Raw genomic sequence first — 18,449 nt, forward strand, 5'->3', positions numbered from 1 at the left:
TCAGCAGAAACTTTCCACCATCCTGTTCACCTCCACTGAATCTCTTTTGAGTCTCTTAGGTCATTTGGTGACCTCCACTCCAACACATTTTTCTCCCCGGTCTTAGACCTCTGTTTTTCTTCTCTCAGCATTCCTAATCTGAACTTTGTCTCTCCCTCTTCTATCTCAAGTAATTTATCCTCAGATGATTGGGGGATGGCACAACCCAATAATTCAATGGTAGAGATACTAAAATTAATATCCAAAAACCTTTGGCCCTGAAGCCTGAGTTCAAATGTTCAACACAGCCGAAAAGAAATCTTCTGACAGTGACTAAAATGATGCCTAGAAGAAGCAACCACCAAGAGGTGAGCTGTGGGAGAAATAAAGAATCAGCCCTTTAAAAGAAAGGGATTCAATGATAGAGAATAAACAGAGATAAAAATAATACTGGGTCATTGGTTGGGCACAGTGGTTGACAATTGTAATCCCAGCACTTTGGGAAGCCATGGCAGGCGGATTTCTTTAGCTCAGGAGTTCGAGACCAGCCTGGGCAATGTGGCAAAACCCTGTCTCTACAAAAAAAAAAAAAAAAAAAAATTAGCTGTGCATGGTGGTGTGTGCCTGTACTTGCGGCTACTTAGGAGGCTGAGGTGGGAAGATAGCTTGAGCTCTGAAGGTCAAGGCTGCAGTGAGCCATGATTGTGTCAATGTGCTCCAGTCTGGGCAACAGAGCAATACCTGTCTTACAAAAAAGAAAATAACTGGGTCTAAGGAAAAGGCACCTATTCATTGCTTATGAAGATATATGCAAATAAATATGCAAAATGAAGTGAAAGGAAAGGGGAAAGGTCTTCCAATGAGTATAAAACTGATTGAATGTCAGCTGTCATCTCTTACTTAAGGGTCCATTGTAAAGGAAAGCTGAGACTATACTGGAAAACAAATGTGACAAGAACTGAACCACATCTTTCTCTTTTAAACATACATATACACACGCAACAACAATGACAATATTATTTTAGCTGGCTCGTTCTGTTGGTCAAGGGTCTTTATTGTTTTTCTTAGGTGCTATTATTTGTTAATGTATCTAGTACTTGATGTGTATTTTCAAAATACTAGATTAATTCATGACCTTTCTTTTTAGCACCTCTATGTTCCACATTGATGATGACATTCAATGCAGACGCAGTAAGATTTGAAGAGTAACAGCTTGGAGCAGACTGCTTGGATTCAAATGCCCATTTTGCTATTACCAGCTCTGTAACCTTGGATGCATGTCTGAACTTCTATATGCCTCAGTTGCTCTATCTATAGAAAGGTTGTTGTGAGGATTAAATGGGTTAGTATGCTCAAAACACCAGAGTGCCTGGCACATCCTAAATACTCAATAAATGTCAGCTATTATGATTATTGTTGACTTCCCTGTCTGCCTTGTGAGAAAGCAGAGCTGGTGCAGTGTGTGGTGAGGGACTGCTCTCTGGGGCTAGAGCCACATTTTCTGCTCAAGGCAAGGGCCATTATTTTCCCAGGGTTCTGCAGCATCCTCACCTCCCATGGCAGGAGCAAAGCTTGACTAGAACATACAGCTCAGGGCCCTCTTCCAAACCTCTTTCACCTTCCAGGCAAAGGTGATATATTCCATGCTTGTTTTCTGAAGAGATTTGTCAGAAAGAATGTTTCTCACCATTCACGTCCAGAGAAGACTACAGAAATATAGCTGTACAGTGTGCATAATGTTATTTCCAGGTGTTGATAAAGTTGGTGCAGTGATGAATGAGACAGCTAGATGAGGGTGATATACCCAATGCATAAATAAAAACAAAACATATTACACTTTGGGAAAACCTTTCTCGGAAGTCAGTAGAATCAAATGGTGACAAAACTGATAAGACTACAGCACCTAAAGAAAGGCAGTCACCTTTCTCTCCACATCTCTGCAGCTCCTACAAAGCAATCAAATCAAACCAATCACACAATAAAATATTTAGAACATATTATATTTTGGTTTAACCTGCTAACACAATGATAGACCTTGGCATTTTCTACTGCTTAGAGTTTCTTTGTGAGAGGAATTCACCCCATTAGGTGACAGCTGTCGCTGTCCTTGGTACTAAAAAACATTCAAGCTCTCTTCTTTTTTTTCTTATGCAAACTAGGAACATTTGTGACTTGCTGTCATAGTGTCTAAAGCACTTGGGTTTTTAATTGATTATTTTTTAGAACAGCCAAGCTTGCCATTGGAGAATTCTTTGAATTTTCAAACAAAGCCCAATGCCACAGAAACCCTGCAGAGTCACGGAAAAAAAGCAATATTATATCCCAATGAAAGCATTTGGTTTCAGGAGCAGCCATGCTAACATTCATCAACATCCTTCACTGACCCCAGTAGATGCACTGAAGTGGACTCCTGCTGGATGAGATTGTCATGGTCTCTGACCTTCCACTTCTCTCCCCACACATGTTTCAGATTCTCAGACTGCACTTACTGACCAAAGTCGGAGAGCCCCCAAAGAAGAAGCCAAATTATCAGAAGGATAGGAGCCTGGATAGGAGGCAAAACGAAAGACAAACAACTTTTATGTTCCAAACTGGTGTTTTTAGCAGCTTCCATCAAACGGGGCCATGTGAGAACATCAGGAAGATTATGACAGCATGGTAGAATCCTCTAAGCCACCTCTGCTCCCTGAACACGGTGCGTTGTCAACAGTTGAATTGCCAATTGTTTAATCTAAGCTTTTTGAGTGCTTTTTACTGGTCAAAAAAATCATAACAGGTTAAAAGAATGGTTTCCAATCCCTACATTTACTCACATCACAGCTGGGTGACACTTTCATTCTTTTGGGTGCAGTAGCCCATGAGGATAAAGGGACAATGGAGATATAACAGGCTAGTAGTATATTTAACCCAACACACAGTGACACTAATGGAACACATCACAGACATGGTAATATTAAACTATTTGCATTAACTCTCCCTTGTTGCTGGAAATCATGCTGTGACAAGTGTCATATTTAATGAGAAGATAACCTTAAATACTGCATTTTGACACAAACATCTTTTACTATTAACAAAAAATCCCGTAAAAACAAGTGCTTCTGCATAGATTGGTCTTGCATACACTGACTTAAGGTAAGGAGATGACAAAGGCTGCCTAATTAGCAAGATGTTTTGAAGCTAATACTCAGGAGTGCTTACGCTTCTGATTTCCATTTGTAAATATTTGCATTTTCCCCCAATTGTAATGAAATCTGAAACTAGTCACACTTTCTAGTTTTTGTTTTTTTTGCACGGCGGGGGCAGGGAGAGGCGAGTAGATTTTCCCTGTATCTAGTGTGAAGATAAAATATTTGGTGTAGAAATTGTATATACCTTTGCAATATCCATTCTGTCAGTATTTCATTGATGTTAAAGGATTTAAAGGGTTTGATCTCCCTTCATATAAGGAAGACTGGGGATGGGGCCCATTGGGGTCTAGCTAACAGAATGTTGCTTATTCTCACTTGAGGGTTTCAAGGTGATGAAAAATTTCCAGAACTTGTGCCCAAATGGATTATAATCAGAATTAAGCAAAACAGTTGGAGACAATATATTAATTTTTTTTAAAAAGCCTAAATTTTAAAAAAGCCAATAGACAAAACCAAACATTTCAAGAACCAAAGGGATTCAATAAGAGAAAAGATTTCAAGCAGTGGAAAGAAGGTGAGCTATGTGAATTCTCTTATTTGGGATTTGATTCTCACTCTTGCTCTTTTAGGATACCCATGGTCCCTGGACTGGATATGTTGAGGGGCCCATTCCATGTGGGCAATATAACTTCTTTTCATACATGGGCTTTGTTATTGTTACGTGGCACCCAGATATCTCAGAGCATGCTGCATTTGGACATGGTTTTACCCCATGGAAAACTTAGAGTATAAAAATATAGATCAATAAAGAAAAGATGCTCAATTTCTATTATGGGCATAGAATTCTTTAGTAGATATTTGATCTTTCACCTGTTGCTATGGTCTGAATGTCTCCTCCACTGGTTTTACACTATTCAATGACTTGACGTCCCCAGTGGAAACAAATCTGAAAGGACTCAAAAGCATTTTTTTCCTCTCCCACATCCAGAGCAATCAAGATCTCTAGGGATACATAAGCCCTGCAGAAGATGAGTTCACAAATTAAAAAATTACAAACTGCACAAGGAAATGAATCACCATGAAGGAGAATCAAGACATACAAATAAGCCAAAATTAGCTACCGAAATCTGAATATAATAAATTTAAGACTATGTAGATTTTGAAAAAACTAAATAGAACCTCTAGACATAAGAACAAGAGAGATTAAAATTTAAAACGCTAAAAGGGATAAGTTTTAGTGTGATAAGAGGTTACATATCAGAAAGAGGCATGTTTTTATTTTATATAAAGATTATAAATATTATGAGAATAAGGGAATTGTATGCAATATTTATTAATGCCCACTAGGAAGATCTGTATTAAGTTCTGAAGATACAAAAATCAATTAAGACCTATGCAGTCCCTGACTTTGTGGAGCAAGGTCTAGAACAGACCAACACTAGTGCAATAAAAAGCAATAAAATGTTGTAGATGAATAGGGCACAGGGAGGGTATAGACAGGGAAGTGATCAAGCCTATCTAATGGGGTCAGGCAGAAGGCAGTCAGAAAAAGCTTTATAGAGTTTAAGGTTGAAACTGCCTTTGCAAAAATTATAACTGAGAAAATTATGACTGTGAAAGAGATCTGACATAACCAACTCCATCTTGCTTCTAACCTCCAACCTGTCTTTGTTCGTTCCTTGGCATAGGCCAAACTAACTTTGTTTATAGTTAAACTTAGTTTATAGTTAAACTTTGAAACAAAGATGATAACAGCCCTTTTCCAAAACAAACCCCCTTCTTGGCTAGGGACTAGACTGCCTTGCAGGAGTAACAAATTATCCACAAGATTAGAAATTATGGTTTAGGAGTCAGGCAGCCTGAAACCACAAGGTTCTGAACCTCCACAATTGCTCCTATGGATAATGTCGTTATTGTAAAACCTAAGATTGATGCTCAAGATATTTTTCAGACCCTGCACTTGATGAATCAGCTGGCACCACCCAGATAGATAAACTGGCTCATCTAGTCCAGTGGCCCCACCCAGGAACTGACTTAGCACAAAAGGACAGCTTCAACTCCCTATGATTTCATCTCTGATCCAACCAATCAGCACTCCCCTCTTCCTGACCTGCTACCCACCAAATTAACCTTAAAGACCTCAATGCCTGAATTTTCAAGGAGACTGACTTGAGTAATGATAAAACTTCAGTCTCCCATACAGCTGGCTCTGTGTGAATTAAACTCTTTCTCTATTGCAATTTCCCTGTCTTGAGAAATCAGCTCTGTCTAGGCAGCGGGCAAGGAGAACCTGTTAGGCAGTTACAAGATGCTTGAGTCTTGAAAGATAAGTAGATGTTTTCTAGACCAAATATGAGGGAAAAAACATTAAAAGTAAAAAACGCATGGTACAGCACCATGGTATGGCTGGGCCACTGGGTGTAAGCGTGAAGGAAAGAGTTGAGAAGTAAACAGGGGCAGATCATGGACAACATATAGTAATTTTTACTAGGATGTATACAGGAAGCACGGTAATACAGTACTTAAGAACCTGGAGTCAGACTGCCTGGGTTAAATCTTGGATCTGTAACCTCCCAGTAATGGGACCTGTCTCAAGTTACTTCATTTCCCTGGATCTCAGTTTCTTCAACTGTGAAACAGGGAACAATGCTACAAAATCTTCAGAAGATTGTTATGATACTAAATGAGACTATGGCTGTCAAAACTTGCATAATTTCTAGTATGTTTTAAGTGCTTAATGATCATTAGTTCTTGTTATTATAACTGCCATTCTTATTAAGAAAAATATGATTTTAAGAAAGATGGAAGCAGACAGCAAAGTAATAAATATTACAACATTTATTCATTTAACAAATACATATTTGAGACACCATAGAAGTAAGTGGGGTTATTGTAGTGAACAAGATGGACTCAATTCCTGCCCTCAAGAAACTTACATTCTGAAGGAGAAGACAAATATTAAACAGCTAATTATCATCTTACTTAATTACAATTGTGATGGATGTTACCTAAAATGGTAGAGAAATACATCATCTTGATCAGCAGCACCTAGAAACTTTGTTACAAACGCTAATTATCAGTTCCTATTCCAGAGCTACTGAATTGAAAACTCTGGGTTTGGGGATTCACAATCTGTGTTTTAGCAAATACTCAAGATGATTCCAATGCAAGTGAATGCTTAAGAAGCACTGTGTGAAGCTTTTACTGTTCAATTTAATGGAAAGAGCTCTTCATTGTAGTTTAAAACACCCTAACAGAACCTGGAATGGAACTGCTGAGAATTACTAGGCTCCAGGTATTCTTATTGTGCCTTCAGATTTTCATGCGTTTCTCTGAGGACTAATTTAGGTTTAAAAAGACTGTTTCTTAAACTGAATCTTGATAAAAATCTTAAGAAAGAAACCAATAGCTAATTATAGTCTGTTTGGTTTCCCTTCTTCATTACCCCCTGTGGAAATTTAATATAGGCCTGCTGTCTCTAGCACGGGGCTCCATAGTCACCCAACTGCTAGATGAGGCTTTCTAACCAGGAGTGGAAGTGAAGGTCAGCTGTACACACAGGCTAACATTACCAAGAATACAGCCAATGGATTGTAGCTTGGTGGTAGATCACAGAGTACCTTTTAAAGAAAGTAGGTCCAGGCCAGGTGTGGTGGCTGACGCCTGTAATCTCAGAAATTTCGGAGGCCAAGGTGGGTGGATCACGAGGTCAAGAGATCAAGACCATCCTGGCCAACATGGTGAAACCCTGTCTCTATTCAAAATACAAAAATTAGCTGTGTGTGGTGGTGTGTGCCTGCAATCCAAGCTACTCGGGAGACTGAGGCAGGAGAATGGCTTGAACCCGGAGGTGGAAATTGCAGTGAGCCGAGATCGTGCCACTGCACACCAGCCTGGCAACACAGTGAGACTCTGTCTAAAAAAAAAAAAAAAAAGTAGGTCCAGTTAACTGCAGGGCTTTTATTTTGTGGTGGGGCATACAAATTGGGACAATACTGTTACTAGAAAAGAGTCCCCATCCAGATTCCAAGAGAAGGTTATTGGATCTTACACAAGAAAGCTTTCAGGGCTGTTATAAATAAATTTTTGTGCTGCAAAAGAAATAGCACTCAAACATAAATTTAATTTTCTCAGCAAGGCAATTTTTACTTCTACAGAAGGGTGTGACTCACAGATGGAGTAATGGCAAGACCACACCTGAACAAGGGAGGGGAAGGGGTTCTTATTCCTGTTGCAGGTAGCCTCTACTGCTCTGTCATTGCCCTATTGGCTAGGGTTGGACCGCACAGTCTAAGCTAATTCTGATTGGTTATTTTAAAGAGAGCAGGGGTACGAGCTGGAGTGGTGGGGTGAGTACTTTGGCAGGAAGGACGGTTACAGAACAGGTGACTCATGATGATTCAGGTCAGAGCACATGACTGGGATGAGTCAGGATGGACCAGGTGACCAGGGAACAGATGTGAACTACTGATTAGAACTGGTGGGAAAGTTGTTTACTGAAACAAGAAGTAAGGGGGTGAAGAGAACCAGGAAGTCAAACTTTAAAATGGAGAACAAAGAATAAGAGAGCTGAACATACTAACAAACTGATTCTTTGAAGAGCAACATGGAGTTCACTATATTTAACAGGGTGAGTCCATACAGTAAAATAAAAGCAAGTTTATTAGAGAAGTAAAGAAACAAGAGACTGGCTAGTCCATAGTCAGAGCAGTGGCATTGGCTGCTCAATTGAGTATATGTATGGTTATTTCTTGATTATGTGCTAAACAAGGGATGGCGTATTCATGAGTTTTCTAGGAAAAAAAAAGGGATTTCCTGGAACTGAGGGTTCCTCCCCTTTTTAGACGATGTAGGGATGTAGGATAACTTCAGGATGCTGCCATGGCATTTGCAAAGTGTCATGGTGCTGGTGGGATTGTCTTTTTGTATGTAAATGCATTATAATTATAGTATAATGAACAATGAGAATGGCCAGAAGTCACTTTCATTGCCATCTTGTATTTTTGTGGGTTTTGTTTATCCTGTTTTATCAGCAGGGTCATTGTGACCTGTATCTTGTGCTGACTTCCTATCTCATCCTGTGACTAAGAATGCCTAATCTCCTGGCAATACAGCCCAACAGGTCTCAGCCTCATTTTACCCAGCCCCAGTTCAAGATGGAGTCGTTCTGGTTTAAATGCCTCTGACAATACTACCGGTGGTTTTTCTCTTTGAGTCTCCTTTAGAGTAATACTCAACTTTTATCTTAAATGCATCTTGAAAAAATCATTCATGAAAATCCATTCCAAGGGATGCCAAATGATTAACCTGCCCAGAGCTGCCACAGGTCCAGTTCAGGCCAGTGCAAACAACAGCTCTATGTCATAGTATGTCAAGAGATAGATAGCCTGTTGCTGTGTTCTTCACTCTCCGAGACGGCCCATCTCAAACAAGAGGAAAGCAGCTGACCTCACTAAAGTTTAATAGCTGTTACAGGTAAAGGCAGCATCTTTGAGGCTGAAGCTAGTCTAGAGGTAACTTTCATTCCCAAGGCTTGTTTGTAAGGAGGAAGTTATTGTTTGGAGGAAGTTTTCCTATAGACATCTTTTTATTCATGGTTCTTAGACAACCAGATCAACCCAAACTCTTCCTGCAGAATAGTATTAATAGTGCTTTTAACTAGACATAATCAGTATCTATAAAGGAAAAGGAGGAATGCATTTGGATGCAAAGAATACTTCTCTTGGCCGGGCACAGTGGCTCGTGCCTGTAATCCCAGTACTTTGGGAGGCCGAGGCGGGCAGATCACTTGAGGTCAGGAGTTCGAGACCAGCCTGGCCAATATGGTGAAACCCTGTCTCTACTAAAAATACAAAAATTAGCCGGGTGTGGTGGCACGTGCCTGTAGTCCCAGCTACTCGGGAGGCTGAACCCAGGAAGTGGAGGTTGCAGTGAGCCAAGATCATGCCATTGCACTCCAGCCTGGGTGTTGCAGGGAGACTCCGTCTCAAAAACAACAAACAAACAAACATAAAAAAGAATACATCTCGGTGTGTGATGTTCCCCTTCCTGTGTCCATGTGTTCTCATTGTTCAATTCCCACCTATGAGTGAGAACATGCAGCACACCAACATGGCACATGTATACATATGTAACTAACCTGCATGTTGTGCACATGTACCCTAAAACTTAAAGTATAATAATAATAATAATAATAATAATAATAATAATAATAATAATAAAGATTACACCTCTTTCCCTTAATGGCAGGGTTAACAGAAGCAGCATTTTGTGACACATGATTGTGCTGGGAGAAGGGTGAAAGAAAAAGGAAGATGGATTCCTTTAATAAGGGTGTAGTGCTCTTTTATACTTCTATATGTGTGTAGTGAAAGAAAATGCTTGATAGCAGATATAAGAAGGCCCCTCTTAGTGTTCTGCACTGGAGACCGCAGGCATTTTGATTTGTGGGTGGAGGTGGAGGGGTGGGTTGGAGTCCAGGTTATTTTACAGCCCAGGGGTGGGCTGTTTGGCAGCATTAGAATGTGGTCCTAAAGTAGATTCCTAATAGTTCTTTAGTTAAACAACAAGGAAGTGATTGACAAATGAAAACATTTTGTGTGTGTGGCCAAAATATTGGAACCAGTATGAGATGCCAAATATTATAATGTAAATTCAGAAGCATTCCTGGAGTTTTTTTAGAACCAAACCACAATGAAAGTGCTCCTGATGCAACTTTGCCATAATGAGGAAAAATTCAATAGGTCCAGTACCCCAACCTTTGTATCTGCCCAAGGCAGACCATGTGTGCAGGCAACAAGGGGAGGGATGGGTTGCCACAGAGCTGAGTAATACCTGATGATACAGGTAGAAGTTATCAAAGTGGAAGGCACCTACCTCAACATATTTTTCACTCTAGAAAATGGGTTATTTGGAGAACAGATGTTCATCATAATAAGAAAAGGTGAGAATAATTAGTTATTATTTTATTGTATTTTTTATTTTTTTGAGATGGAGTCTCGCTCTGTCACCAGGCTGGAGTGCAGTGGTGTGATCTCGGCTCACTGCAACCTCCGCCTCCCGGGTTCAAGCGATTCTCCTGCCTCAGCCTCCCAAGTAGCTGGGATTACAGGCATGCGCCACCATGCCCAGCTAATTGTTGTATTTTTAGTAGAGATGGGGTTTCACCATGTTGGCCCGGATGGTCTCCATCTCTTGACCTTGTGATCCGCCCACCTCGGCCTCCCAAAGTGCTGGGATTACAAGCATGAGCCACCATGCCTGGTCAGTTTTTATTCTTCAAATGGTTGACTTACATTGCTATTTGTGTGTATTTCTTATGAACTCTCAAAACTATACTATGAGATAGGTACAAACAGAGAAAACTGGAGGTAGAGAAGCTCAATAACTTGCTCAAGGTCACGAAGTGGTGGAACTGGGTTTTGAAGCCAGGCACTCATGCTCCAGAGCGTATGCTCTTAATCACCTAAACCCCTGTAAACTTAACTGCCTCTTAGTCTCTCTGGATTTATGGACAAAAGAATGCAGCAGCCTTTTGTAGTCTAACCTCCCACAGGTGGAAGAACCTCTGTTTTCTAAACTTTGCACTTAACCTCACTTATTCTGCAAATTCAGATGTTATGCAGCGAGACTGAGGAAATTTTCAATGCATTGACTTAATAATTTGGGCATTTTCCATTGTTATTTCCCTCCCCATTGGTCTCCAGTTGCTTTCCAAACCCATCATCACTGCATTGCCTTTGGAGGATGTTACAGTGACTAAAATGTTTTAATTCCCAGATTTGCTATGTGTTTGTATATGACCTTAAAGCTAAGGAATTCTCAGGTGATTCTAGTATCTACATTTGTAAATGGCAGTATCTAGGCTGTAAATAGCAGGTAATGGCTATTGCCTGATGGGTTTTTACAAAGCAATTATTTTGTAAATGATGTTTGGCTTCTTGGGTCAAAGAACTACATCAATTAAATCAGAAGTGAAAGGTTCTGACATAATACCAGTTATTACTAGGAAATAGAAGAACATGCCTACAATAAGAACCATGGAGATCGGAGAACAAATACACTCAATTGAGTGAAAGTAACAAATTATTGGAAAACACTTTTCAAGTAGAAAAAAATGACATGTATATGAACAACAATATTCTTACTAATTTTAAAAGAATATAGAACTTCTCCCATTGCAGCCCATCAAAATCACCTTTAACCATTTTTGTTTGGAAAAATGACTTACTATAATATTTTGTTTAGAGACTAAAATTCCTGGCAAGGCTTGTTGCTCATGTCTATAATCCCAGCACTTCGAGAGGCTGAGGTGGATGGATTACTTGAGCCCAGGAATTCGAGACCAGCCTGGGCAACATGGCAAAACCCTGTCTCTACAAAAAAATACAAAAATTAGCTGTGTGGTGGCACATGCCTTAAGTCTCAGCTACATAGGATGCTGAGGTGGGAGGATCACTTGAATCCAGGGGGTGGAGGTTGCAGTAAACTGAGATCACTCCACTGCATGCCAGCTTGGGTGACAGAGCCAAATCCTATCTCAAAAAAAAAAAAAAAAAAAAAAAAAAAGCTGGGCACAGTGGCTCACGCCTGTAATCTCAGCACTTTGGAAGGCTGAGGCAGATAGATCACCTGAAGTTGGGAGTTCAAGACCAGCCTGGCCAACATGGTAAAACCTTATCTTTAACAAAAATACAAAAATTAGCCAGGTATGGTGGTGCACACCTGTAATCCCAACTACTCAGGAGTCTGAGGCACGAGAATCTCTTGATCCTGGGAGGTGGAGGTTGCAGTGAGCCAAGATGGTGCCAGCACTCCAGCCTGGGTGACAGAGTGAGACTCTGTCTGAAAAAAAAAAGAAAAATGAAAAAAAAAAAAAGCTGAAGAAGCACTTATTTCATTGATTGACAGAACTGGAAACTTAAAAGACATTAGATTGAGGTGGTGAAAGCAGCCCACAGACCTTCTCAGAAATGAGATCAAGATGTGCACAGGAGAATTACCAGAAGAGCCTGTCAGATCTGAAGGAAAGGTTGACAATAGATCAGGATCTATACAGCAGATATTATTTAAACACAGAAGATGTATATAGCAACATGGATTACAGTATCTCTTCCCTAAATACCAGAACCATATCAACTTTAAATCTGCCTAATGGCATCCTAAGAACTGATGAAGAAAAATCGTCTTGTTTCACGTTCAGACAGGTTAGAAGAATCCATGGGCTTCTTGCTCCACATTGTTCAATGCTTTCCAACTCCCCTCAAGACATGATTCATGCTCCAATATTCCCTATTCTATATAATTGCCAAATTAAAGCTCTGTTTCCTAAGTCAGACATTCTAAACCAATGTGTGAAAAAACAGCTTTGGGAGGGTTGAGTTATTTTCCTCAGTCCTTAGAGTGGCTACATAGGGCCTGAGGCCAGTGGTTTCCAGCCATATGCAGCTTTGGCAGTTTACTCTCGTGTAATATGGAAATAATATATTCTATGCATGCTGTGACTTTGCTTTTTTTTTTTTTTTAAGTTAGGGAAGAACTTTAAACTTGGAAGACCTGTCCCGAGTATAGCAGGTAGACACTTTGATTAATATTACAAGATTAGCTCATACTAATTTAGGAAGCATTTGGAACAGTGTCCAGCACATGGTGAGTGAAGTTAAAGTGCTTATCAAAAAACACATATAATTGAAGCTATTATTTAAAAGAATTTACACTAAAGTATAAATGACTAATATGTTCAATGTACCATGAGGGTGTTAGCTGACTAATAAAGGATCTTGTTAATCTGAATGAATTTCTAATTGGATAAATCACAACTTGTGTGATGAACCCTTGCAATCTGTGCATTTTATGCCTTGCAAACTAGTCCTATAAGGCAGAAAATGCACAGATCGATGTTGTTTTATAGTAGAAAGCATCCTGTCACCTACACTTTCTATCCTAACACCCTTACAAGTGATTTCATATCCCATAGGATTTGGTAAAAATAATCATCATTGGAGCAAGAAGTGAAAGTTGGCAAGAACCATAGTGGATATTTAAAATCAAGGAATTATACGTATAAATCAATAAATAAATTCTGGTCGATTAATGCCAAATATCATCAAAGAATAGAGTAAAGCAATCTGGTCTTTGCACAGTGCTTTAGCCTGTCAAAGACAATGTAGCAATAAGCAATTTTACCAAAATATCATAACACAATATCTGACAGTTGAGAATTATTGTATAATCCTGTTAACTTGATTAGTCAAATATACAAGTTAGATTTTTCAATCTATGTTGCACTGATTCCCAAAATTAGATCTCAAATCAGGACTGAAATAGACCTATCAGTAACATGGAGAAATTTCAAGTATATTTCTAAATCCACTAGGAATCAACTATTGTTTTTTTTTTTTTAACTTTCAGTGCCTTTAATTCTTTGCATATATGTAACCTTTGGGAAAAAATATACATTGCAGGGTTTGACATTATGTATGAATTCTATGCACATAGATTGACTGCTACTGAGTCTCCAGGAGGCTTTGGAGAGAGCAAAGTGGCACTGAATTTGATCATAGAAGACAGAATCATATTTTTAAAAGAATTCTCCCAGCAATTCAGCTACATAGCAAAGGTTTGTCACTTTTCCTCTCAAACCCTTCTGGCTGTCAGTGCTCTTGGAGGAAGGTAAGGAGGAATGCAAACAAACTACTGGGGTGAAATCCAATAATAGAGTTGGGCCCTACTGGGGGCTCCTGGGAAGAAACAGCCCATCTAACGTTACTTCCACTGCTATCTCATTGTCCAAATCCTGCAATTAAAACCTTTCATTAGGCCAGGCGTGGTGGCTCACGCCTGTAATCTCAGCACTTTGGGAGGCCGAGGTGGGTGGATCACCAGGTCAGGAGTTCAAGACCAGCCTGACCAACATGGTGAAACCCTGTCTCTACTAAAAACATAAAAATTAGCTGAGTGTGGTGGCACACGCCTGTAATCCCAGCCACTCAGAGGCTGAGGCAGGAGAATCGCTTGAACTTGGGAGGCGGAGGTTGCAGTGAGCCGAGATCGTGCCACTGCACTCCAGCCTGGGTGACAGAGCAAGATTCCATCTCAAAACAAACTTTCATTAATACCGTACCTTACAGACTTAAGGTGTGGCCAAAGAAGTGATCCTGTCTGCTCACAATGCCAGCCATTTTCCCTTTGAAGCAACCAGGAGAAAGATTTAATGGGGCCTCATAAATGGGTAAGGGAAGAAGTACAGCCAACATCAAACTGAGCTACTAAGTCAGGCTTTCAACTCAGGCTTAGCATCCTTTCTGCTTCAGCACAGTAGCTTCACTGAGTCTCTGCAGCTTTAGGGAGCCATTGCCTGAGGAAGTAGCTGGTGATGATGGCCATTTTGGAGAGCCTTGGGAGAGGATGCAACACACTATAGGAGGCTGAGGTGCTTAGTCTTCTGGGCATGCAACAGACATGGACAAAACACTGCTGAATGGCAGTAAAATCTGCTCAGCGTTCTTTGCCTTGTTTATGATCTTCTTGTTATTTAGGAACTAATTACACAGTCTGCAGAGTGTCTCTGTTCCCAGGCCTTGTGCTGCTCTCTGACCACTTGCCTGCCTGTTATTTCTGTCTGTAGACAGAGGTCAGCAAGAGAAGCCATCAGAGTTTAATCAAACTTCTCCCCCACTTGTTAACATCAGTGACAAAATCTTTGATGAGAACAGAATGTTTCATACTTGGCTATCAAGGATTCGGGGATCTAGGGATTATTTATGGATTTCGTTAAGCACTTAATTCCCATCCACTGCTATTGTGAATAGCTGAGGTTTTGCCTATATCCCTAACACAATTTCAAATCTGCAGAGGGGCTCCTATGCCCTGAAGTGCTGAGCATGTTCAGGTTGTCATGCCTATCCAAGAATTCTGGGTTGCACAATACAAAAATATGCAAGAAGCACTTGTGTAGGATTACAGGGCAAGACAGGTGAAAATGTTTTAAAGTGTAGGAACATCTCACTTTGAACAATAGAGCTGTTTCAGAAAAAGTTCTTGTAAAATGGATTTATGAACATTTAGTTACATTTTAATCGACCAGAGGAGTTGATAACTCAAGGCTCACTGTGCAATGAGCTCTTTTGCAGGTGCAAAGTATTTATGTGAAGAAATAATTCCCTCCCCATTTAGCTTTTTATGAATTTGAATTTTAATATATCAAGTTGTCTTAAAACACCTGTATAGCTAAATCTGCCAAGATGCTTTTCACTGAATATCTGGTAGATGAAGGAACTCATTCTCCCAGGGAAATATTATAAACACTTTCAAAGCTGAGAAATGCTTATTGTAAATTGAACATAAAGTTTTCAATGGGCCACACCTAATTAGGTTTCTACGCCTCTTGAACACTCACTCTCCGCATATGGGAGAAAAGCAAGGAGAGCAGTTCATATAGTCAGGTTTAGAAGTTTTTGCTTTGTTTAATGTTAAATCTATTTGTTATTGTATTTATGTATATTTGTTTCTAAATATTTATGTATATTAAGTTTCTAAATCTTGTATCTTTGCAAATACTTTAATCACTTGCCTACAGAATTTTCATTTAGATCCAAAGAATCAGAATAAGCTCATTTTCATTTATAAATTTCATCTTTTTCTGCTGTTTATGCCTCATCTTTTCTCTTCTACTCCTAAACAAAAGCTTGTGTTTTTAGCTCCCATTTTCCAGATGATTGCTCTGTCTTTGCTGTCATTTGTGCAGACGGCTTCAGAGTTCCTGCACAAGCATATAGTGCCATAAAAATAAGCCAGATTTTTTTAAAAAAATGTTTAAAACATAGTAAATCTGCTTTTGCCTACTGTTTGACTTTCTCTTGGCTCACTGCCTGAGATCCATTAGGTACACTTGGAATATTCTAGCCCTGGACACGAAGGAAAGAATTTGCTTTTAAGATTGCTTTGTACTATTTAAAGTCAGAGATGATAGTAACCAGAACAATGGAATTGAGCCTTGTTGCCAAGTCTTTTGGTTTATGGCTCTTCCTTGGCTTTGGTATTCATTCTCATCTTTGCATCTGAGATGAGAAGTCCTATTTTGGTTAATGACAACTTCCCTCACACATGCCTAATCATCCTTAGAGGCAGACCTGGAGGCTCTTTTGGTTGTTTAGGCATATGTTCATTTATAAACAAAAATGAGTGTATTCTGATTCTTCTGGTCTAAATGAAAATTCTATAGGCAAGTGATCAGTTAGTAACCTATCCCACAAGACAGGGCAGGAAAAATTAGAAATGGAGAGTCATGGAAGCTGACTGTATTGGTGGACACCACGTTTTAACCATAGTATTGTTTGTTTCTGGTTCCTAAGCACCAAGGGAAGTCTACTAGCATGCACACAAAGCCTCAAGAAGCTTCTTTACTTCAGGCATCTCCTTAGGCCACCTTGTTAAAGAATTTACTTTCATAATCAGTTTCTAAGAATCAGTATTTCTTTTCCTATTTTCCTCCACTTGGACATAACATGATTAGAACAAAGAGTTCTCATGCTTTGGGACTGATCAGAATCATCACTAAAGAAAAGACTACCAACAGTCCTACCTTCATGTAGGAACTCTGTTGTTTTCCCTCCACTTGCACATCATAATGGCTGTGAGAAATGAGGCTCTGGAGGAAATCAATTCACATGGAGCCCCATCTTCTTGGAGGGCTCTCTGGGAGGGGCAACTGCACCAAGATTTTTGTTGAACCATATTTGCTGCAACGATGACGTGTCCATCACACTCATATCTCTCGAGAGGCCCCCTGGGAGATAGTGGCATTTTGCAGTGAGTGTGGCCTATTCTGGGTCATACCAAGGACTATTTGGATCTATCTAATTTAGGTAAATAATGATGAAATACATAGGGGTTTTCCCTGTCTTAAGAACTGGAGGATGTTTTCGAAGGCTTTCTTCAATCAGTGGGAGGGTACAAACACTTGAAAGTATTCACACTGGATTACTGGGTAAGACAAATTGCTCATAGCCACCCAGGTTAGAAAGATTGGGATTTAACATGACAAGCAATCAGAGGCTGAATCGAATGGTTAAAGGGTCTGTGTCCCTTTGTAGAATAATCAGAGATTGTTAATGAAGCACAAACCAGAAAAATTGTTATTAGGCTTGTAAGTGCTGGTAATATAATGTGTCCAAAAATACATGGCAAAGCTTACTCTCCCTTAAAAAGACACAAAATTTACACAAAAAAATTTTGTGAAATGTGTATGGTAAAATCTTTATAAAAGCTGTGAAATGTGCAATTGATTTGGAAAAGGGTTAATGCCAGAATATTTTAAAGCTTTACTCCCCTCCTTGCAGTGTAATCCAAAGATGTCTTCTGTTTTTTCCTTCCTTTATAAACTCAAACTCTTAATTGAAAAGCAGTCTGTGTTACTCAATATGAATGAAATAAGTACACTTGGGTCAGGTGTAGGGTTGGGTTGCTTTGGACAGTTTAAAAAGATTCTCCTCTTAGCCCTTATCTGTTTGTTCCCTGAAGGATTTCTGTATCCCTTCAGGCAAACCAAGCAGTAGCAGCAGCAATAATCTTATTTACAAAGGGGGCAGGAGGGCAGAGGGCTGGAAATCCCAAGGGCTAGTGCTCAATATGGTCCCTGTCATCTTGAGATCAGAGGGTTTGCCCCAGCCCAGGTGAATAATGACCAAGAACACTTTGTGACTGATGACTCTGCTATGTATGGGGAGTTAATTGATGTCCCTCTGTTCCAAGTGAATAATCCACTTTCTAGCAATGATGGTAATGTCATCAAGTGGGAAAATACACAGCCAGCTAATGTAGAAACAAGATATAGAGTCCCCACCCCCACCCCGGACTCTCTTCTGGGCAAGCAGGAAGTGATACTTTTACAGATACATGCAATGCTTTTAAAAAATCTCCGAACTAGCAGAACTAGGAAAAAAGCTATCTAAACTTTGACCTTTTTGACTAATATTATGAATCTTCTCAGACCTCTGTAAACCACAACGCAGGTGCATCAAGAACAATTAATCACCTTAGCATCTATGACCCTTGGTTATCTGGCCCTCCGCCCTCATCCTCATTACTCTCCTTCACGTACCATGTCCCATACACATGAGACTATGTGTCATTCACTGGACATATCACACTGTCTTACATCTCTCCCCTCTTACCCCCAACTCACCATAATTTATCTCCTTGGAGCTTCCTTTATCCCCATTTTTCCCTTTATTCTTTTCATAGCTAGCTCTTACTTTGTCTTTAGTGCTCTATTCAAGCATCACCTCTTCTTCCTAAATCAGGTATTTGTGCCCTTTCTAGTTTCCCATAGCCTCCTCCATT

The 18,449-nt window shown here is 39.8% G+C and overlaps 1 annotated feature.

Annotated features, from left to right (window-relative positions):
- Positions 7,176 to 8,375: an enhancer, noted in NCBI's record as "CDK7 strongly-dependent group 2 enhancer chr6:88834755-88835954 (GRCh37/hg19 assembly coordinates)". NCBI's record gives its function as "activates an origin of replication core promoter dependent on BRD2, BRD4, P300/CBP, MED14 and CDK7 cofactors, with strong dependence on CDK7, by STARR-seq in HCT116 cells {active_cell/tissue: HCT116}" and the evidence as "EXISTENCE:reporter gene assay evidence [ECO:0000049][PMID:35650434]".

The sequence above is a fragment of the Homo sapiens genome, chromosome 6, assembly GCF_000001405.40.
Source record: "Homo sapiens chromosome 6, GRCh38.p14 Primary Assembly".
Lineage (NCBI taxonomy): Eukaryota > Metazoa > Chordata > Mammalia > Primates > Hominidae > Homo > Homo sapiens.